This window comes from Homo sapiens, chromosome 1 (genome assembly GCF_000001405.40).
Source record: "Homo sapiens chromosome 1, GRCh38.p14 Primary Assembly".
Classification (NCBI taxonomy): Eukaryota; Metazoa; Chordata; class Mammalia; order Primates; family Hominidae; genus Homo; species Homo sapiens.
Genome location: NC_000001.11, coordinates 206428564 through 206451466, shown reverse-complemented (window position 1 = coordinate 206451466; position 22903 = coordinate 206428564). Strand labels below are relative to the sequence as shown.

Below are 22903 nucleotides of genomic sequence, written 5' to 3'. Positions count from 1 at the left end.
CCTTGTCAGCTGCTGAGACTTCCAGAGCCCATGTGATCCAGAGGAGGTGTGGAGCTGTTGGAAGCGGGGGAAATGTGCTGGCTGGACAGACCCTCATAAAGCATGGGCACTGCTGAGGGGCCTGAGGATGACAGCTGAGCATTCCTCCCCTTGATGCACGCCCACCACGCTGCTCGGCACTCGCATGTCTGTACTTTGGAAAGGGTCAGTTTTTCCAGTCGGTAGGCGTGAAAGCATGTGGTTTCTGCATCCTCATTCCCACTCCCTCTGGCTTGCTTCTATTGGGTTCCGGGCAACCAGCTCTGCTATTTCCCACCCCAGGCTTACTTTTTTTTTTTTTTTTTTTTTTTTAGACAGGGTCTCACTCTCTCACCCAGGCTGGAGTACTGTAGTACAATCATAGCTTGTTGCAGCCTTGAACTCCTGGGCTTAAGGGATCTTCCTACCGCAGCCTCCCAAGTAGCTGGCACTACAGGGATGCTGCACACCACCATGCCAGGCTATTTTTTTTTTTTTTTTAAGAGACAGGGTCTGGCTGTGTTGCCTAGGCTGGTCTTGAATTCTTGAACTCAAGTGATCCTCCCGCCTGGGCCTCCCAGTGCTGGGATTACAGGTGTGAGCCACCACACCCAATTGCTTACTGTTTTTCAAATGTACTTTCCTTCACTTTGTTCTCCAGCTGTCTGGCAGGAGTCTAGGCTATGATAAGGGACCAACATCATGCTGCACTCAGGCCAGACAAGGAGCTGGGAGGTGGAGCAAGAAGGTTGAAGGGCTATGAAAGGCCTAGTTCTTCACCTCTGGTTTAATACGAGCGATTCTATTTGAGAAGGTGGGCTACCTCTCCAAGGAAGGAAGGGAATGAAATTGAGACAGGGAGCTCTCTGCCTGCCCTCAGGGGACCGCTGGGCAGACAGGTTCATCAGATGCACAGGATATATAATCACTTCCTTCTGCCTCACCCCTGGCGTCCCCACTGACCAGGAAGCAGGGCCTCGTACCGTCATCGCTCGTGTGGTGCTCTGCGGTCACATCCTGGGTTGAGTCTTCAACCGAGGTAGTCTCTCCATGAGGGCTATCACTGCAACAGAAGCAAGAGTGACAGGGACATTAACATGTGCTCATAAAATTCTTGTCTTCCCCTTCATACAGCCTCCCTGGCGCGAGGGCACTGAATCCATCTTATGCTCTCTATATCCTAACTGCACACAATAGACAAATGCTTATAATGAAATACAAAGCTCTAGAGTTTTTCCAGTCTAGCTCCTGCTACAAAAACCACTTGAGACTACTTGGAACTTAGAATATCTCAAGACAAAGGGAAGCCCTTTTGAAGGTATAAACTAAATTCTTTAGAAAATAGAGAACAACTCAACTCCTCAAGGTCTGATTCTCTATGTGAATTCATTCCTGGTTTTCAAAGGGGAAGCAGGGTGGAAGGGAAACACTGGGTTTCGGCATCAGATAAAACTGGATTCGAAAACCAGCTCTGATACTTGGTAGCTGTGTGATCCTGGGCAAGTTATTTAATCTCCTTAAGCCTCAGCTGCCTCATCTATATACTGAAGATAAAGATCTATATCCTCAGCTGTGTGAGGATTTAATAAAGTAATTTAGTCACAAGTTTGGCACAGAGTGGGTGTTTAATAAATAGTACTTGCTTTCCTTCTTTCTCATTTTGCTTGATGCCTCTAGGTTGCTTTGCAGTTCAGACTGTGAACTGGTGAAAAAGTGGAAGGTGAGTCATAGGAGAGGGTGGGAAACAAAAGTAGGGGAGGAATAATCTGCTATGGGCTACAGGGCAGGATCCAATTACGGGTTGGAGGGCAGGGGAGAGAAGCTGGGTCAAGTTCTTGAAATAATTCATGAAATTTAAAATCATTCAGGGTAGGTCAGGCACAATGGCTCACACCTGTAATCCCAGCACTTTGGGAGGATCATTTGAGTCTAGGAGTTTGGGACCAGCCTGGGCAACTTAATGAGACCCTGTCTCTACAAAAAAAGAAAAAAAAAAAAAAAGCCAGTGTGCATGCTGTGGTTCTAGCTACTCTGGAGGCTGAGGTGGGAGGATTGGTTAAGCCTGGGAAGTCGAGGCTGCAGTGAGCCATGATCGTGCCACTGCACTCTGGCCTGGGTGACAGAGCAAGATCCTGTCTAAAAAAAAAAAAAAAAAAAAAAAATCATCCAGTGTAAGGAATCGAGAAATGATAGAGAGGTTACTAGGAAAGTCATTTCTATTCCTGATCTCCTGGCTCATGGACTTCAGAACTCATGAGGATGGGCACCAGGAAGTTCTTACTTCCTGAAAAGTAGAGAAACTGTTCATTTCTAAAGTTCTTCCTCTGGTAGTAGGCAGTAACAGGTGAGGCTTTCCAGGCAGTTGTGTGAAAGCACCATCACCCACTCAGCCTGGCAGCCTGGCCGCACAGTTTCCACCTTGGAACCCTCAAGCCTCTTTCCCCATGGGATGGATCCTACACTCCTGGGAAGTTCCTCAAAGACTGGGTGACCAGTTCAGAACTCATCCTGTGTAGAGCAAGTCACTTCCAAGGAGGTTTCCCAGGCTCCAGAGAACATTCTAGAAGAATATAAACGGAGATTCCTCTTTGTCAAAAAATGTAGGCACAATTTCTCACTGTTTTCTAGGGCTAAAAACCATCTGATGAATCTGATGAATTTTGTAATGTTCTGGAAACCTTTGAGATGGTGGGGGTGGCGGGGGAGAGGTTCAAAGGCAAACTTTCCCTCAGGGCTTCAAGTTTATTTACACAGCCAGCCAGTAAGGCAACAGTTCTAAACTTCAGCGAGCCATGGAAGGCTTGTTAAAAAACAGCGCCCCATCTTCAGAGTTCCTGTGTCACTGGGTCTGGGTGGAGCCAAATAACGTGCATTTCTAACCAGTCCTTTGTGACACAGATGCTGTTGGTCCAGGGACCTCACTTTGAAAACCACTGCTTTATGAGAAAGGCAAGAGGATGCTTTCTGAGGTCTCTTCTAGCCCTAAAATCCTATGCTTCTCTTGAAACACACTCCATCCCCAGCCTTTGCTCTTGTGCACCCACCAGACCCAAAAATACCTGAGGTCTCAGGAGCAGTCCACCATGCCACCCAGCCGGTAGTCCTAGAAAACCGGTTCCAGTTTCAGGACTGGAAAGTGTGGTGAAATGGATTTGTCTCTCCTCTCCACAGCTGTGGGGAGGCCATGTGGCCTGGTGCTCTCCTTTCCATGGCTGTTTGGGTCTCCTGATCATTCTCCATTCTCTTCTTAGTGCTCTATCTCCCCTTCTACCACCCTCACTCACCTCCTTACTGCCTTAGCTCCCGGGGCTGGCACTTCTCTCACTTCCCAAAGAAGGGAGAGGAGAGGCCATGAGCCTTCCAGGTGGGTGTGAATCCAGCGGTTAGAAGGTCCCTCTCAACCCAAGGTTGCTGACTCTTGTTCCTCAGGTGCTTCTAGCCTCCCACACAGTCTGCGGTAGTAATGTTCCCTGACTAATCTTGTGGTTTTTCCAGAGGCTGCTAATAAATGTTGAGTGCACAAGAAACAGGTGGGTAGGTTGGGAGACTATCTTGGAGGAAACTGGAGGAAGGCACCTGTCCCCGTGAGCCACACCCCTCCAGGACTCTGACCCACTGGGCTGGGACTCAGGGGCCAGGGCTGTAGGGGTCTCTGTGCCCCGGGCACTGGACCAGAGCCTGCAGTGGTTTGATGTTTGAGAAGTGAGGGCGGAGGTTCTGCCTGACTTTAGAAGGAAGGGAATGCTATTCTACAGCTTTTCACCACGCATGCAAGGGGGAAAACCAAAGCTCTAAGTCACATGCACAAGGACAGCTCCCTGGAGCTCATCATCCAGTAGGCTGAGACCTAAAGTGACCAACAACCTCCCCAGTCACCACCAACCATCTGTCGGTGACAAAAAGCTTTCTCTCCCAGCTGGCCAGCATAGGTTCCTCCAGCTTGGACCCAGACACTGAAATCTGCAGTACAGCAGAGAGGGATGAACCCAGGGATGTCACTGGTATTACTAAGTTCACAGAACACAAATGCCACTTTCTTCACTCCTTGGGCAAGAGGCTGTTCTGTGGGGGTCAGGGAGAAGCGTGGACCAATTGGCCTCTAATTAAGTAAACAACCTCCCCTGTCCTCCCCTACCTCAGTCGATAGCAATGGGGCTGGCCGAATTGGTTCCAGATGTTGAATTCAGACAGAATCCGATTTGGGCTGGCTTGTGCTTTCAGCTCAGGCTGAAATACTATTTAGGGGAAGAAGGGAGGGGGAGGAGGAGGGGGAGGTAAGGGACGTTAGGGATTAAAAGAGAGAGGCAGTTGTCTTTGTGTTTAGTGAAAAAACGACGCTGTAAATGGTACCATGGCGGGTGGCATGGGGTAACGGACTGTACCCTGTACAAAGAGATGAGATTGGGGTTAAATTCCCATCACTAGAGTGGCCTAAAATACTGTCACTGGCCTTTCTGGGTTGCAGCTACTTCATCCATAAAATAGAAATAGTGATTTGTTCTTTGTCAAACAGAGGGGTCTAGCAAACATATATCCCAGGGATTCCTTTTAGATCTCTGTTCCGAAGCTAGGTCATGGAAAACCTGGCCCCACAGAATGGAATGCTGCTTCAGGGGAGGACAGTCCCTAACCTGCCAAAAACAAGGCTTACCCTTCTTTCTCTTCACAAATTTCTAAAATCATTCTGAAGTGCCAGCTTACAAACTCACGGTCAGGAAATTATGCCTTTTATCTAAACTCTTCCCAAAAGGAAGGGAATTCCCTGGGACCCAGGATGGTTTTTCTCAGAATACAGAGCACAGAGTAGAAGCCCAAGAGACACTGTTGATGAATAAAGATCACTTCTAGATGCAACTTTATAAAAAGTCCTTTCTTAGAGATTAGTATCACAATTAATGTTGTCAATATCTTTCAGAATAGTCCCTTGCCACTCAGAACTCATCAAAAAGGGAGGTGGCAAGAAGTGGCATTTAGTCTGTGGGTGGGGCCGAGGTGGGGGCTGCCTATAGCATCCCCAGACCCTAGCAGCCTGGGAGTGAGGAGTTGGGAGGATCTGGGTGTTTCCCTTTGGTTTTCGTGTGGCCATCTGGCTCCCATGCCAGTGTGTGCTAGTGAATCCCTCCCCTCCTCCCGTCCCAAGCCCCCCTACCAGTAATCCTCCATGCTTCCTCCTCTGCTGTAGACAGGGCCCTCCAGCTCCCTGGGGCTTGGGAAGATGTTCTCATGCTGGATGATGATGGTTTTGATCAGCTCATTCACGTGGGCTTGGCAGGACACCTGGTCGTGGCCCTCTGGCACTGACATTAGCGAGGGCCCGAAGCAGATGGCGAGGTTGTAGGGGTCCATCATGTTCTCTTCACTGAACTGTGATAAACTGGAGGAGAAGGGAAAGGGGGCAAGCTGGAAAGCTCTCGCATGAATGCCCAGAAAACACAATCACAGGAGGCGCTGCCAAGAGCAAAAGCAGAAGGTCCACAAATTGCCACCTGCCTTTCTGGGTGTCAGAGACTTTCCAGAAAGTAAGCTGGGGAGAAAACTGACAACCAGAATGGTCATTCAGGAGCTCAGGAAATGCAAACTAGAGGTACTTGCTTGCAGCTCTGATCCCTTCTCTCTTTCCAGCTCCCATTTCAAATTCTACTTACCACCCCATCCTCATCCCTATCCCCGGATCTTATCTATCAAAGGCCACATGACCTTGAGAACATGTCACTCTGCAGAGCTGAATATGGCTGCTACACACCAACATACTAAGCTGCCAGGGCAGACGGGGACCCTCAGGCTGCCCTGGTAAAGATATGGTCAGAGGCACAGGCACTGTGCATTGTGTACCTTCTTGCATAACAAAATAATCAAATTATTAGGGATATTCCTTTCTAGCCTCTAGACTTATTAACAAATAGCCAACTGATTAGCTTTCGTATTCCATCAAGCCAGTGAATTTCTTCCTAGAACAGCAAATGCAATTGTTTTTCGTGTTCATAATCTCCTTCTAGATTATTACATTCAGGATTTTTTCAGGAAAAGGTCAGCATGCCATTTGGCTTCTGCTCGGGCTTCCTCTGGATGCAGGCTGACTTCATTCTCGGGTATTTATTTATTCTGGGAACTCTCCCCTTCTCAGCCAGCAGCTGTTCCAGCCACACCTCCAACCTTGGCCAAGGACCCAAGGCCTTCAATGAGCCACTGCACCTGATGAGTCCCATTGGGCCTTGCCCGTCCAGGCATTGAGGGCTGGGCCAGCTCTGGATACCTCCCCAACACAGCCTGCAGAGCTGTGAGCTCTGCTGAGGAGTCTCCCTTATAGGCATGGGCAGGATTTGATTCTGAGAAGGAACCAAAGGTCCTCTGTTGGGAAACGAGGCCTGAGACTCAGCTGTCTCCATCTGAGTAGCTGTTCTTCAGAACTGATTGCAGAGTTTGTTTCTGTAGTGTACCCCTCATCCAGCCTCACATTACAAAGCCCATTACCCTCTGACTCAGTGGTTCTCTCCCCTCCTGGAGATGTACCCCCTGTCTGTTTGCGAATCACTGCAGGACTTGAAGAGTGGTATTATGGACGTGATGGGAGAAAAGAGTTGAGAATCACTGTTCTCTAGAGCCTGGAATCAAATGCAGGAGAGGCCAGCAACGGGGGAGGTTACAAATCTCATTGGATTGCTTCACAGGAGTTCTTAAAAGTGTATAATCCTTCCCCGGATCCTGAGTTCAAAGAGAGCAGAGATTTAGAAAAGACTAGGGGAAGTTTCTAAGTCTACTTCCTAGTCAAATTAAAACTGGGGAGGGACAGGAGGATAATTACCTTGGTAACCTCAGAGCAAACAACTGAGGCATGAGGTGCTGCAGGCTTAAGCTGTAGCTAATCCAAGGCTGGCCAGTTCCTGGTGTCATGGAGGGACAAAGAGGAGGAAGGCCTTGATACTTTAGAGTGATCTGACAATGTTTTGGTAACATAAAAGAAAACCAGTAGTGTCTGGGAAGCCTGATGGTCAAAGGGAAACAAACTCTAGTCCTGAGAGTCCTGAGTCAAAGCTCTGTGGAAGATGAAGAATGTTGGGAAGCCTGCTAAGGTAAGAACTGTTCAATTCATAGGTGGCTACAATGACCAGGAGCTTGAAGAGGACACATCTTTGTGGACTGTGGTCTCATGATTCTAGGTCTATTTTCTTGCTCCCATCAAAATACAGATGAAAATCCATTTTTCTTTTCCAATATACAGTGGGAACATCTAAGTTTAGGGGCTGAAGCAGTGGTTCTTTTTTTTTTTTTTGAGACGGAGTCGCCTGTCTGGGTTACAGTGGTACAATCTTGGCTCACTGAGGCCTCTGCCTCCTGGGTTCAAGTGATTCTCCTGCCTCAGCCTCCCAAGTAGCTGGGACCACAGGCGTGCACCACCACGCCTGGCTAATTTTTATATTTTTAGTAGAGAGAGGGTTTCGCCATGTTGGCCAGGCTGGTCTCAAACTCCTGACCTCAGGTGATCCACCCGCCTTGGCCACCCAACGTGCTGGGATTACAGGTGTGAGCTACTGCGCCTGTCCTAAAGCAGTGGTTCTTAACTATTTAGGGGACACAAGTTCCTTCAATAACTTGACAAAAACTAGGGATTCTCTCCCCAGAAAAATTCACATATGTGCGCATATAAATAAATGCACACAGTTTTGTGTAAAATGTCATGGTGTTAATAATCTTTGAAGTCCCTGAAGGCTGTGTCTAGTGTAAGAGTATAAAAAACTGGATTTTTATTTTTAAAGAAATATCTAGGCCAGGCGCGGTGTAATTACAGGCTCATGCCTGTAATCCCAGCACTTTGTGAGGTCGAGGTGGGTGGATCACCTGAGGTCAGGAGTTTGAGACCAGCTTGGCCAACATGGTGAAACCCTGTCTCTACTACAAATACAAAAAAATTAGTCTGGCGTGGAGGTATGCACCTGTAATCCCAGCTACTCGGGAGACTGAGGCAGGAGAATCGCTTGAACCTGGGAGGCAGAGGTTGCCGTAAGCAGAGATTGTGCCATTGCACTCCAGCTTGGGGGACAAGAGCAAAACTCCATCTCAAAAACAAACAAACAAAAACAAACAAACAACAACAAAATAAAAACAAAGAAATACCTAAAATGGATAACATTAGTAACAACTCTCTGCTTTAAAATTTTTGGTGTCGACTTGTAGTCACTCATGCCATGTCCTCAAAGAGTTCTACTGTATTTCTACAGTTTCAGTTCATATTATTAGTGAATTCTCCTAACTGATTTGAACTCATCTTTTGTGCTTCATAAAAAGGTTCAGCATTGTGGTTAGGAACAGAGGCTTTTTGGGGCGCCAGGATTGGTGTTGGGAAACTTACTTTTTAGCATGCACTTTTCTGGATTTTTAACTTTTTAATGATATGCAATTACCTCTCCAGAGGGCCCCTGCTAAGCTGTACTTGGATTCCAGACCCACAGAAACTGAGATATTAGCTTTTTTGGTTCCTTGAGATTGACAATGTGTCCAATCCAAGAACAAACAGTAGCCAGAAATAAAGTACACATACATCCAGGACTCACAGCAATGAAGAAAAAGGGTCCTGATGGTCTGGGCCCAGGCAGAGTCTGCATCGGGAGCTACCTGCCAACTATTGCTACCCCTGTCCGGAAGTGCACACCTGTCAGCTGCTGTCTTCCTGTGGAGGTGGTCTGCTTTATCATTTGTGTCTTGCATTCTATTTATTATTTTAGAAAACACTTTATTAATGCTGCATTTTTTTAATGTTAACACTTTGATGAGCAAATCAATCTCGTTTCAATCAGAAAAAAACCCAATAAAAGCAAAACAAAATGAATAATTTGAATTGGTGCAATTCCTATGCTGTCTTCAATAGTGGCTGCCATCTCTGCAAGCAGCAACCCTGCATGGATGCTTATTCTATTGTTTCTCCCCACTGTACTGTCACATATAGTCCCCCAGCCCTCCCTGTTTTCCCCTCATCCCCATTTGCTCACCACTGTCATGCTCCCAGCTCTGGGGGCACAGACGAGGCTCATGTTGAGGGCAGGTATTGGTCTCTGAGGGGAGACAATGACTGGTAGCCCTGAAGGGACTAACTCGAGAGTAATTAGCAGAGTTTCCAGGCTGCACATGAACACGCTGTGTGACTCACTGGGGTGTTCAACCCAAAGGCAGTGGTGGTGCTGAGTCAGGGCCTGGCCAATGAATAGAGCAGACACAACCGCATGGAAGAGACAAGATGGGGAACAAGGACCCTCTGTAGCTCTGAAGGGCCAGCAAGGGGGCTACATGATAGTGTGGGTGCCCCAGAAAAGGTCTCAAGCTGGGGCCACTAACCCAGATACCTATAAGGCCAGGTTGACCACAAACTTGGAAGCAAGCTGACACTTATGAAATGGTCTCTAAAGTTGTATTCCTTTTAAGCAGAGACTAACCTTGTAGAAGGCTCCTCATTTTCACAAAGAAATATGTGCAAAAACACCTGGGTCCCTTGGTTTACCTTTTGTTTCCCCTACTCTGATAGATTCATGGATCCAGAGAAACATTTTTGTTCTCTATGAAAACCACAAAACAAGAGTGATGATAAATAGCAACTGAATTCAGCCTCAGGATTGGGGGACAACGGGGAGGGCTGGGGACTGTGGTGAATTGGGGAGTGCCTGCCCCATCTAGGGAGTACAGCCCTTACTCCACAGGGAATTGCTGCCACCAGGGACTGCAGAGTCAGTATCACCAGATCTAATAATTTTTCAAAAGAAGCTAGAAATCTAGGTTTTTAAAAAGTGAAATTTCCCCAAATGTAAGTATGATTTCATTGTTCTCAAGACACAATAGACACCTGAAGAGAACACATCTTCGGCTTTATCTGGCTCTCAGGGTGCCCATTTATAACCTTTGGTCTAGGCTGTTGAGGGCGAAACTGCAGCAAAACCAAAGTGAAAAGACAGAGGTGCCTCAGAGGGGAAGAATCACATGTCCTTGCTTGGTGCCTTTCCTGTCATGTGGGGACTCCAAAGCTTGCTCCACACAAGGACATGCTGCTTGGACGAGAAGAAATGCCCCATCCACACCCGCGGCCCCCTCTGCTCCTCAGACCTTTGTTGTAGACACATCCGTTCCCTGGGTGATTAGCTAAATACCACCAGTACATGGGCAACTCCTGCACTGGCAGCTCCACTCCTGGTTTCTCCCTTAAGGGTTGGATTCCTAGGTCCAATTGTTCAAAATCTCCACTTGGACATCTCACAAGTGCCTCAAATGACCATGACCACATCAACACATTGTCTTGATTCCTTTCTCCACACCTTGTCTTCTCCAACTCCATAAATGACCACCCTATGTCCCTGTCGCTCATGCCAACAATTTAGGATTTCTCTCTCCATATTCTATGTATAATCCATGGGCAAATCCTGTTAATGCTATGTTCAAAATGTATCACAAACCTGACCCCTCCTCACCGCTCTCCAGACTCAGCCACTAACACCTCTGGCCAGACCAGATGGTAACCTTGGGATAGGGTCTCCCTGTTTCTCTTCATGACCCTTTCCAGTAACTTCTCCACAAAGCAGTTGGCAGTTTTTAAAAAAATAAAATACACAAATCAGATAGTAACATGCCGGGTGCGGTGGCTCACGCCTGTAATCCCAGCACTTTGGGAGGCTGAGGTGGGCACATCACGAGGTCAAGAGATGGTGACCATCTTGGCCAACGTGGTGAAACCCCATGTCTACTAAAAATACAAAAATTAGCTGGGCGTGGTGGCATGCGCCTGGGTCCCAGCTACTCAGGAGGCTGAGGCAGGAGAATCGCTTGAACCTAGGAGGCAGAGGTTGCAGTAAGCCAAGATCGCTCCACTGTACTCCAGCCTGGAGACAGAGCAAGACTCCGTCTCAAAAAAAAAAAAAGAAAATCTTCTAATTGCTTCCCAAATCCAAATCCAAACTCGCTATTACCATGACTCTGGGGTTTTAAATGGCCCCGTGGCACTCTTTTCTCCTCCTCTGGGCTGCTGCTTGTACACTGTCTTCTCAGGCAGGCCTCTGCTGTCCACCTCAACTACAGTGCTTCTCCCTCCTTTCATTCAGACCCCTTTACTCTTTCCCCTCTCTTTACTCTTTTTTATTTTTCTTCTAAGCACTTATTCTACCTGATATATCTGTTATTGGCTGTTTCCTTCCCTGGAACAGGAGCTAAATTATATCAAGGCTTTCATCTTTTATTTAACGATGTATTAAATAAGTCTAGCACTGTGGCTAGCACACAGTAGGTGCTCAATAAATATTTTGTTGGGATGGATGAATAGGCATAGGTCCATAGAGGAACTTCCAGTGCCCAAGCCAAAGCCTGATCCAGCTGTTCACTGGGAAGGCTACTCACTGATTGAGGAAGGCAAAGAGGTATCTCATGATAATCAGAGTGGTTTTGGGCAGGACTAGGAGGACTTTCCGGATGTGCAGAGCTCTCTCCTGCAGGTTGTCCATTGCTGAAAAGAAGAAAGCCATGTGTTATCCTCCACTATGACTGGGATCCCAGGCAGTAATGATCAGAAGTCCCTACTACCAGCAGGGGCAACACGGACAGCATCAGATCAAGCCCACGCACAGCACTGGTGCAGTGACAGGAGTGTCATCCCTGTTGCTCCTTGGAGTAGGGCTGTTAGAAGAGGGCACCTGCTGGGCTCCAGACATTTACCATTGCCGGATGTAAGGTGTATACTTCTTGGGCACAGGGAACTGTGCCAAATCCAAATCCAAACTCGTTATTACACATTATTAATATTAAACTGAACTAGGGTTGTTGTAATCTCATTGTTATTAATAACAAGTTTGGATTTGGATTTGGGCACAGGAAATGGGGTTAGAAATGTTCCCCACAGGATCTACCACCCTCTTATTCAAACAACCACTGACAGGGAGCTGCCGCCAACCTGCTGTAACTGCTCAACACAAAGCCTCAAAGGGCCTACTTCTCGGTGGGAAGAGAGGCTGTGCAAGAGGCCTGTCCTGCTCACTCCACACATGCCATCTCATCCTCTGGACAAGTGTGGCTTATCTTCTCCCTCCCTTATCTGCACTATGAATGAGTAAAAAGTGGCCTGAGGCAAGAGGTAGCAGGCCCCTGGGTATGTAGTGATATTGGGAAGGAGACCTGAAAGGTTTTCTTGTGCTGTGGAGAGGTTAATTATAGGTCAATTACAGGTCCTCCATCATAGGCAGCCTCTCACTTCCACAGTGTGCCATGTAAACACTGCCATTTTCTATGAGTGCCTTTATATGAAAAAGAGATGGGAAGTACTGGATTAGGAAGAAGAGTGTATCTCTAGGGAAGAACTGGGCAGCCAAGGGATATTGAACTGTCTTGGCAACCCCAGTTCAGCTTAAGATACTTCACCTAGGCCCAGTCCCGGAAAAAGACAAAGACATGACCCAAGGGAATCACATTCTTAATCACCCACATAACTCACTTCCACTAGACTCCCACAAACAGAAGTCAACAAAACAAACCAGAGAGCCAGCTTCCCAAATGCCCTGGGCATTTCTCAGGATAACAGAGAGGGACAAGTACTCAGGGCAGATACTGAGTGAAACTGGAAACTCAGCAGGTATGAAGATCTGGTCAACCTAGGAAGAAGGATCTTTTCTCCATTCAAAGGTACCACTCCCTCCAGCCTCTGGAGCCATCAGTCAGACAGGGCCTGCTTCCAGGCTGACCTGTATTAATCCAAGTTTCCATTGATTGTTTTCCCTGGCAAACAAATGAGAGGGTGTTCCAGTACCACAAGCTAAACCAAATGGCTAGGAATAGCTTTTCAAGACCCAAATTTTAGAGTAAGAGGCAGAGAACTCCTAAGAGGATAAAGCAGAGAATATACCTTTCTCTTTGGGAAAATATCCTATTACTACTTTTAAATGTGCAGAGGGCTTTTGTTCCTAGAACACATATTAATACATTTAGCAGGTAAGCCATGTCTTGTTTAATGCAACAAGCATGAAATATTTGCAACGCTTATGCTTTTCCCCCTTGTACCATGAAAAGCACAAGCACTAATGTATAAGCTTCAAATACATAATTGAAAATAAAGGTATTTTACTAAAAAAAGATAAAGCCCAGAGATGAATCAGAAGAAAAAAAAAAAGGCCAGGAGTACTGACTTGGGGGGTCCTAGATTCTTACTGAAAAGTCTTTCCTCCTCCCCTCCCACCAGGGGATGAAGGAGTGAGGCTGAGGAGAAATTTCACTGGGGAAAAGAAAAACTTCATTGAAAAGCTTATGAGAACACACAGACCCTGTGGAAACTTTTTCTCTCTTGCTACCGGTGCTGTAGCCCAGAAGCCAATCTGAAGCCAGAATGGTACTTACTGACGCAGGCCATCAGGTCATGAAAGATGTCCTTGGGGAAGAGAGGGTGTTCCAGCCCCCGGAAGTAAAGCTTCAGGACACCAGCTATGGAATCCATGTCATGGTCGTTCTGGTCCCCAGCCAGGGGGTCCTCTCCTGAGGATAAGCAACCCCCACGAAAAGGAAAGAGAGTGAGAGAGGCAAAAACACACAGGACGAACGTGGGGAAGGGGTGAACCATGCATGTCCTGGTCCCAATCCATCAGCTTTCTGCCCGGCATGGTGGCCATGAGTGGGACAGACCAGGGAACAGATAAAGCAAAGACTGCTCCATTTCAGGGGCTCCAGGACCAAAGCACGGCAGATGAGTCCACCAATATAAACTCTCTTGTGCCAGCCTGGCTCAGGGACATTCCCTATGGGCTGAGGATGGGACACAGCAACTGTATCTCACAAGAATCATGAAACCAGGCTGGGACTGAGCCCCTGCGGGGAGAAAAATGAGGCCAAGGAGGCCAGCTCCTGAGACTGGCTCTCACGTCTCCTGGCCTGCAACCAAGAACACCTACTTACAGAACAATCATGCCAGAGCTCCCTATGGAAAATTTCATATCAGATGTAATTAGATTTAATGATAGGGCCAACCTCAAATTGACACTATATATATCCATTACAGTGACGGAAATTGCCAAAGCTTGCCCATTACCTTAATAGCCCACAAAATAATAAATGGGCTACAATGAACAAGCGCATTAGCCTTGATATTAACTGCTACCAAGGGTTCCGGATGAAGCCATAAACCGCCCAGATATCATAGTTAACTTCTTGGGTTTTGGCAGATCATCGGCGTGAAAGAGGCAGGATGGGTAGGGCTACGAAAGAAGAAGGAAACTGGGATGTGCCCTGGTATTTCTCTGCATATCTACAGGGGAATGTGTACAAGACAGCAGGTACCCCCTGAAGAGACAGGGAAGTTGGCTTCCTGACCTCTGGGGACCTCTTAGAGAAGAAAGGGTGGAGCCAATACCCCAGGGGGCTGGCAAATATTTGGTTTTATCTTCAAGACTGTTTCCTTACCTCTCTCAAAGGCATTTTTGATGTCATTCACTTCCACCTGGGATCCTGACACCCGGAAAATTCCTTCATGCTGTAGTCCTGGAAATACACAGAAAAGTGATCAAGAAGAAGAAAAAGCAAATTCACAAGCATAGTGCCAAGCTTAGTTGAATATCTGTCTCCCCCAGCCAGCATGTATTTAAGCACGCTGTCTCTCTTCTTTAGGCCAAAGGAGAAAAACATGTGCAAGGATGTTGGAAAAGTCACTGGAATAATTTCGAGGCATTCATTTTCACTAGAAAGCACCAAGTTAGAGACTCCTTTGACTCCAAGGGCGACTATGAGGCAGATTCCTTCCCTTGTTTTGCCTCTCTTTTCCCATCTGTAAAGCAAAGAAGTGACCCATTGGTACTTTTTTAAATCATCTAGGGTCAAGAATAGAAAAATGTACTCAGGAAGCTGAGGCAGCAGGACTGCTTGAGGCCAGGAGTTTGTGACCAGCCTGGGCAACATGAGACCCTGTCTCTAAAAAATGTTTTAAAGTAGCCAGGCACAGTGCTTATAGCATGCCTGTAGTCCCAGCTACTCAGGAGGCTCAGGTAGGAGGTTCACTTGAACCTGGAAGTTAGAAGCTACAATGAGCTATGATCACACCACTGCCCTCCAGCCTGGGTGACAGAGTGGACTCTATCTCAAAGAAAAAAAAAAAAAAGAATGGGAAATAGGTCAAGGCATTAGTTCTCATCAGAGGAGTTTCATAAGGTCTGAGATTATAATATTGCTTTAGCTGTTTTAACACGGTTTGATTGTTCAAGGGGGCAATGCTTTCAATACTCATGAAAAAGAGAGAACATGAAACTATAAGTCAGGAGCATCCAATCTTTTGGCTTCCCTGGACCACATTGGAAGAAAAATTGTCTTGGGCCACACATAAAATATTCTAATGATAGCTGATGATAAAAAAAAAATCCCCCCAAAATCTCGTAATATTGTAAGAAAGTTTACGAATTTGTGCTGCAGCCCATGGGCCACAGGTTGAACAAGCTTGCTATGAAGTGATCAGTCAACAGATAGTATTGCCAGACATTGTGCTAGGCACTGGTTCCTGACTACAGCTTTACTCTAAAGACAAACATGCATGAATGTTATACTACGATAATGTGCACAAGAATTTCTTGGTTTTGTTAGAGAAAAAAATCATGAAAAAAATGCTGGCATAGTGACTGCTGCTAATCAATGCTTTCACAGAAATAAATTACTTGGTCCTCAGAAATAATAATGTCACAACAAGGTAAAGGTTGGCAACAATCTCATTCTCTGGATGAGGGGATTGATGAGTGATAGTCAGCCTTAAGTTATACAGGAAGTAAGAACCAGGGCCATGACTCAAACTCAGGCCTTGTGGCTGCAATCATACTCAGTCCTCAACACCAGGCTTCTGGAGTCTACTGGAGTGCAAGTGCAGAGGCTGGAACCACATTGGTCAGTCTGAGCATGGACATGGCTTTACAGACAGCACCACACACACAACTGCAAAACGGGTGAGAAATCCAGCAAGTGTGTCATCAGTGCCAGCCCCAGGGGTTGGACTGGACTAGCATCTCTGATTGCATCAGGACCGCTCAGCTTTTCTCAGGATCCCTGGGTCTCAATCTTAAGCATTCTGTCAAAATCCCTCTGTTACGGCACAATCCTTCAAAAACCTTGACATGCTGGAGAAATCTCAAATTTTATTTTAGGAAAACAAAATGGACTAATGCTACATTTTGCCCACTGTTTGAGGGTTTCTCAGTGAGGAGGCAGATGAATTCTATCAGTTAGACCTTTGGAGGTAAACCACATAGGCCGGGACTGATATTTTGAATCCAACTGAAACAACATTAAAAAGTAAGCAGAGGAAATATAGTTACCTGGCTTGTAATAGGCCTTAAGTTGTCTGCTCCTATAAAGGAATCTCCAGAATATTCCTCACAGAGTGGCAGGCAATGTTAAAACCTCATTAGTACCAGTGTAATAGGACTATAATACTAGTTACAAATGGGATGTAAAAGCCAGATAATGTTGTTTAAAGATAGTATGTAAACAACAAGTGCTTTGAGAGAAACAGCCACATGTCACAACATGGTATAAGCAAATGTCATCTCGGAAACCAGGCTACTCACTATGTTCTAGTTGGTGAAGCCATTGCACAAATTCTTGAAAGAGCGTCATCATCTTGATACTTTTTGGTAGGTTAGGACACCAAGGAAAAGCAGCCTTGGCCTGGGGGTCCAGGACAAGAAGAAATGAGAGGAGAGCTCATTGGAAATCAGGCAGCAGGCCTGGAACACATGGAGCTCTCTTTAGGTCTGGTCTCTGTTTCCTCCTGAGAACTTATGTTTTGGAGGGACTACTATGTGTTCTTGCTCAACAGACAGAATCTCTAGATTCTAGAAGCAGAAACATTAATAAGTGGCTGGTTTCCAGAAAGTAAAGGGAAAAACCAGTTGGCTTTTTATTATAATGCAGGCGAATCCTTACATAACCAAAGTGACACATCCATGATCTTTTAAATTTTTTCTCAGTTCACATGAACATGAAAGTATAAAACTCATCAGACTTGGACTAAGCTATTTGGAAATGGCACAAAACCTTCCATTGTGCACGGGATCCAACCATTGCCAAAAGTTGTTCTCCTGGAGAATTCTTCAAATGATTTCTACAGCAGCCATCTCATGTTCACGTTATCTTGCTCCCTTCCTCATGAAAATGGCGGTTTGTTTTTTTGTTTTTTTCCATCATGATTCAGTTTCAATTGTTCCTCAAATCGCTTCTCTTCCTTTAAGCCTTCCTGAATCACCCTCACCCACCACTGAGCTTTCTCATCTATATAATGGGGACTATAATGTCTACCTCCCATGGGATTTGAGGATAGTTAGGATGTGAAAATCCCCAGCATTCAGTGGGCCACAGACTCTTTCAAGACTGACACAGGTTATGAGCTCTATCCTCATTAGATGCCTATACACAAAAATTTTTACTATGGTTTTTTAGGGAGTTCATGAGCACCTTAAGCCCCTATTTGGGAAAAATCAATTTAGTGGAACAGATGTTTTTTGAGCAGCTACTATGTGCTCAATTGTTAAAAAATCCACAATATATTTGCTTGATCCTAGAATATATATAAAATACTTTTAGAATTGCTAATCCATATTTGTGTGATAAAAAATTACTAATTACTGTAAAATATTTGTTTAGAGATCTTTTTATCTTCAGATTTATATTACAGTCAAGACAAATTACTTAGGTTATTTTCTTCCTCATTCTCTTCATTGTGGTTACGTTATTCACTTGTAATACAGTTAGGTTTATATGTTACTGTCTGCATTCCATTTTGGGTTGTACCCATACTCTGCCTTTATTTATTTATTTATCTTTTTTTTTTTTTTGAGACAGGGTCTCACCCTATCACTCAGGCTGGAGTGCAGTGGTGTGGTCTCATCACAACCTCCATCTCCTGGGTTTGAGTGATTCTTGTGCCTCAGCCTCCCGAGTAGATGGGATTACAGGTGCCCAACACCACACCCAGCTAATTTTTTTGTATTTTTAGTAGAGACAGGGTTTCGCCATGTTGGCCAGGCTGGTCTTGAACTCCTGGCCTCAAGTGATCTGCCCACCTCAGCCTCCCAAAGTGCTTGGATTACAGGCATGAGCCACCATGCTTGGCTTGTTTATTTATCTTTTGAGTACAGGAAACACTAATGTTGTTCTAAAAGTCAAAACTACACTAAGGTAAGAGAAATGCCACTCCTTACCATTTCCCATTGCCCCATTCTTTTCACGTTTTTTCCATCCATCCCCTATAAGTAACCAATTAAATATTAGTTCCTAGATTCATCCTTCCTGCATTTCTTTTTGCAGAAATGAGAAGATACGTGGATATTCTTATATCTTCTTCTCTCTTATATAAAAGGTAATGAAATGCAAAAGAATATCTATATATATAGTCCCTGACTTGCAATAGTTTGACTTATGATTTTTTGACTTTATGATGGTACCAAAATGATATGCATTCAGGAGAAATACTTCCAATGTTGATCTTTTCTTGTGCTAGCAAAATATAGTACGATATTCTCTTATAATGCTTGGCGGCAACAAAGAGCCACAGCTCCCAGTCAGCCACGTGATTACCAGGGTAAACAACACATACTCTACAGTGTATAGTGTTGCCAGATGATTTTGCACAACTGTAGGCCAATGTACATGTTCTGAGCACATTTAAGGCAGGCTAGGCTAAGCTCTGATGTTCCCTAGGCTAGGTATATTGAGTACATTTTCAACTTACTATGGATTTATGCGTACGTAACCCCATTAGAGGCCGAGGAGCATCTGTAGTATTCTACATGATATAGACTCTTTCACATTTTGTTTTTTTCACTTAACAACATATCCTGGGAATCTCTCCATATTAGTTCAAGGAAATCTTACTCATTCTTATATAGTACTCCATTGAATGAATGTCCCATAGTTTCTTCAACCACTCCTCTATGTATGGGCATTTAGGTTGTTTCTAATACTTTGCAACTACAAACAATGCTGTCACAAATAACCTTGTGCGCATGCATTTTTGTATTGTTGGAGATGTAACTTCATGGCAAATTTCTAGAATTCCTAGGATCTGCTGGATCGTAAGTGCATATGAAGTTTTGTTAGATACTGCCAAATTCCCTTCCAAAGAGTTGTATCAGTTTGCATTCCCATTAGTAACATATAAATGTGCCTGTTTCCCCAGAGCTTCACCACAGTAATGGTGAAGCACTCACGCACTGTGGCTGTAAGGGGCAGAAACAGGTACATTCATGCCACAATATCTGGAACCTGCCCACTTTTCAGCAAATACCACAGCTAACACCCTGGTCTAGGCCGCCATCATGTCTTCCTCAGGCTACTGCAGTTGCTTCCTGTCTCCTTCTTACAGTCTTAGCTCCATAGAGCATCAGGGATCCTTTAAAAAGATGACTCCCTGTTCAAAATTCTCCAGTGGCTTCCCATCTTCCTCAGAATAAAATCCAATCCTAGCACATGAGGCCCTAAGAGTCTGGCTTCCAGCTTCATCTCCTGCCGCTTCCTTTTTCATTTGCTCTGCTCCAGCTACGCTGGCTTCCTGCATATGGCAAGGATCTCTGCACTTGTTCCCGCTCCCCAAGATACTCTTCCCCAGATATCCACAAGGCTTACTCCCTCACAACTCTGCCCTAATGTCACTTTAGGAGAGGCCTTTTCCCTGAACCAGCTTCAAACAGTGTTCCCTCTTCCTTCTCCATCCCCTCACCCTGCTTTACTTTTCTTCATGACATTCACCAATACCTGACATACTGTATTTACTGGCTGATCAATTGGTCATTTGCTTATCCACCTTTCAGTGGAATGTAAGGTTTATGAAGGCAGAAACTTTTTGTTGGGATATAATAAGCAACTAATATGTATTCGTTCAATGAATGAAATGTATGCTAATGAACAGTGGCTCAGACTTTCTTCTTCCTATTGTCTCTTAGGCACAAATAATTCATCCTCCCCTGAACTCCGTTTGGACTTTTCTTTGCAAACTGTTTGACTGTTAATCATTACTATCTTGTGAAATTTCTTATACTCTATTCTGAATTACCACAGCTTATCCCTTTTTATTTAACTTATCACTTGCTTACTTATTTCTCCCAACTGCATCACAAAACCACTTAAAGACAGGAAGAGTATATTATTCCTGTTTCTGTTTTCCTGCATGGCAATGCATGGTACCCAGCATTGATCAGGGACTTGATAAATTTGTTGACTGTTCAATACTGATATACAATGCTGTTACTTTAAATGAATAGGGATAAAATTTAAAAATTATAGCTGATTAGAATGAGATCAATTGTAACCATGCTATAATAATTACTATTCCAAAAATGAACCTGAGCAATGTCCCAGTTTACAGGGAGAGAAAAAGACAAGGAGAGGGAGAGAGAATAGCTGCCTCTGAATTTAGACAAGCAATATTTTATCTACCTCCTTAGCTCCAGAAAGGTCACTCTGCCCCTTTTCCTATCACAGAAAGAACAGCATCTAAAAACAATTTCTGATGCTCAGTTCCTAGAAATTTTCATAGCACTAGTTCTGTCCTTTATAAACACTCTAATCCCTGGGAAATCAATTCTCTGGCAATTATTTCGATCGCTAAATTCTGTCCAATGAGACCAGTAGCTGGTGAGGAATGGTGTTTATAAGATTCAGCTTCATCCAAGTAGAAGAGAGTATGATTTCACCTAGGCTGAGAAGCAGCCTGCCTCTGCAGATTCTCAAAAGTTGGATACAACTTTAAGACCAGCTACTAACTCAGCCCTTGGCCATGCTGTATCCAGTGAGACCAAACCAGAACAAAAACTGATTATTAGGAATCACTGCAACATTGGGAAAGGAGTTGTTTTCAAACTAGTCTGGTACAGAAAGTGACAAAATGGTCAGGCTGTACAGTGGGAGATACCCACACTTGCAAAGACTGTGAGTAATGGTGAAACTACTGTTACCACATAATAGCAGCTGTATTTACATAACAGCTGCAATTTCAAACTTACTCTCAAGCTAAAAAAATGCTGCGTGATAAGTGGCTGAGGCATTTTGTGTCAAAATATATGATGCATTTCTTTCAATGTCTAGGTGTGGCTATTTTGAGGTAGCAAAAGTTATGTGGACAAGTAAGAATTTATTCCTTTTCTGAGAATGCCAGGATGGGAAGTCAATCTCTATTCTTACTCTACAAAGAATTCCTGGAAGTTCTTCCCAATCTTTGCACAAATATGGACAAGGCTGTCATCCTGCTTACCGTGTCTGCTGATAAACCGGATACAGCTTTCCACCACCAGAGGAATTGCCTGGCTGGAGTCCTGAAAAGCCAAAGGGAAACACAACATTAGAATATTCAAACAGGGATAGCCCAGGGTCAGAGAAAACGGGCCAAACCGTGCAGAACTGTCTTAGCGGATCACCAGCCGGTCTACAAAGAAGCACCTGGCCTGTCCTCCAAGTTCCAGAGCACAAAAATACAACCACCCACATGGAATGCTACACAGATGCCTTAAAGTTAGCATGTCCTAAACAAAACTGATCATCTTCTGCCCCAAACCAGTTTCTCACCACCTTCTCCACCACCTAATTAATTAATATTCTGTCATGTCTGCCTTCTAAATATCTCTCAAATCCATTCGCTTCTCTCTATCTCAACTGCCCCCAACCTAGTTCAATCCACCAATACCTCAATTCCCATCCTTGCCATCTTCTGACCCGCATTTCTCTTCCTTCACATAGTAATTAGGTAATCTTAAAAGGGCACATTTCATTATTTAAACTCTTTCAAAGACCTCTCATTACTCTCTTACACGGCCTTGCATGCCAGGAATACTGCCTGTGCCTCCAGTTCCACTGCCTGTTCTTTCCCCTAGCTTCTGCTACAGCTATGCTGGCCACGTTTCTGTTCTGCAAAGTCCTCCTTTGCCTCGTGGCTTTGCATGAGCTGCTCCTGCTGGGGGTATGTTCTCCTCAACCCTGACTGTGACTCCAATGTGTGGATGTGAATATTTGTTGGCACTTGTCACCACTACAGCTCAAACTTCACAAGAGCAGATCCTATGTCAATTCCTGGGTGTCCAGGGTTGGCCATGATGCTCTCACATAAGAGGTGCTCAATTATTCTCAGTTGAAGGTAGCAGAATGAACCAATGGGAGCTTCAGAAAGAGGGTTTGTTTGGTATAAAGGTAAGATAGAAAAGAAAAACTAACTCTAAATAGTGGGGACTAACAGGTACTAAGCAAAGAAGCAGGCCTCCCAGATGTCAATCTTTGCTCTGTTGTTTTGCTTCACAGTCTGGCTCATGTCACTGAACTTTTTTGGGCCTCAATTTGCCTTCTACAGACTGGGGAGGGGACTGGAGGCAAGGAGAGTAATATTTCCTATTAACACATGAACATTAGTGCCTACCATTTATAGAGGAATTTAAAGAGGTGTGAGGCCATGTACTAAGTCCTTTAGATGGACTAGTGCTGGTAACAATCCTATGGAGTACATATTATTATTATTATACTCATTAAAATGAAAAAGTGAGGCCAGGTGCGGTCGCTCACACCTGTAATCCCAGCACTTTGAGAGGCCGAGGCCAGCAGATCACTTGAGATCAAGAGTGTGAGACCAGCCTGGGCAACAGACTCTGTCTCTACTAAAAATAGCCTGGCATGGTGTTGCACACCTGTGGTCCCAGCTACTTGCGAGGCTGAGGTGGGAGGACTGCTTGAGCCCAGAGGACAGAGGTTGCACTGAGCCAAGATCAAGCCACTGCACTCCAGCCTGGGTGATGGAGCGGGACCCTGTCTCAAAAAAGAAAAAGAAAAGAAAAATGAAGAAATGAAGGCTTAGTGAGGTTAAGTAGCTGCTATGGTCACACAGCTGGCAAGTGGCAAAACCAGGATTCAAACCCAGGCAATCTCCCTC

General features: G+C 45.0%; 1 protein-coding gene across 17 annotated transcripts in view; it reads right to left on the bottom strand.

Annotated features, from left to right (window-relative positions):
• SRGAP2 (SLIT-ROBO Rho GTPase activating protein 2) overlaps positions 1-22903 on the bottom strand; it is a 260896-nt gene that overhangs the window by 12970 nt on the left and 225023 nt on the right. For all 17 annotated transcript variants that reach the window (XM_011509354.3, NM_001377444.1, NM_015326.5 and 14 more), the window contains 6 exons: positions 21245-21305; positions 14425-14502; positions 13369-13503; positions 11386-11491; positions 5168-5392; positions 1002-1081 (listed from right to left, as the gene is read on the bottom strand). In XM_011509354.3, the coding sequence (XP_011507656.1) occupies positions 1002-1081; positions 5168-5392; positions 11386-11491; positions 13369-13503; positions 14425-14502; positions 21245-21305 (685 nt within the window). The remainder of the gene's footprint in view (positions 1-1001; positions 1082-5167; positions 5393-11385; positions 11492-13368; positions 13504-14424; positions 14503-21244; positions 21306-22903) is intronic.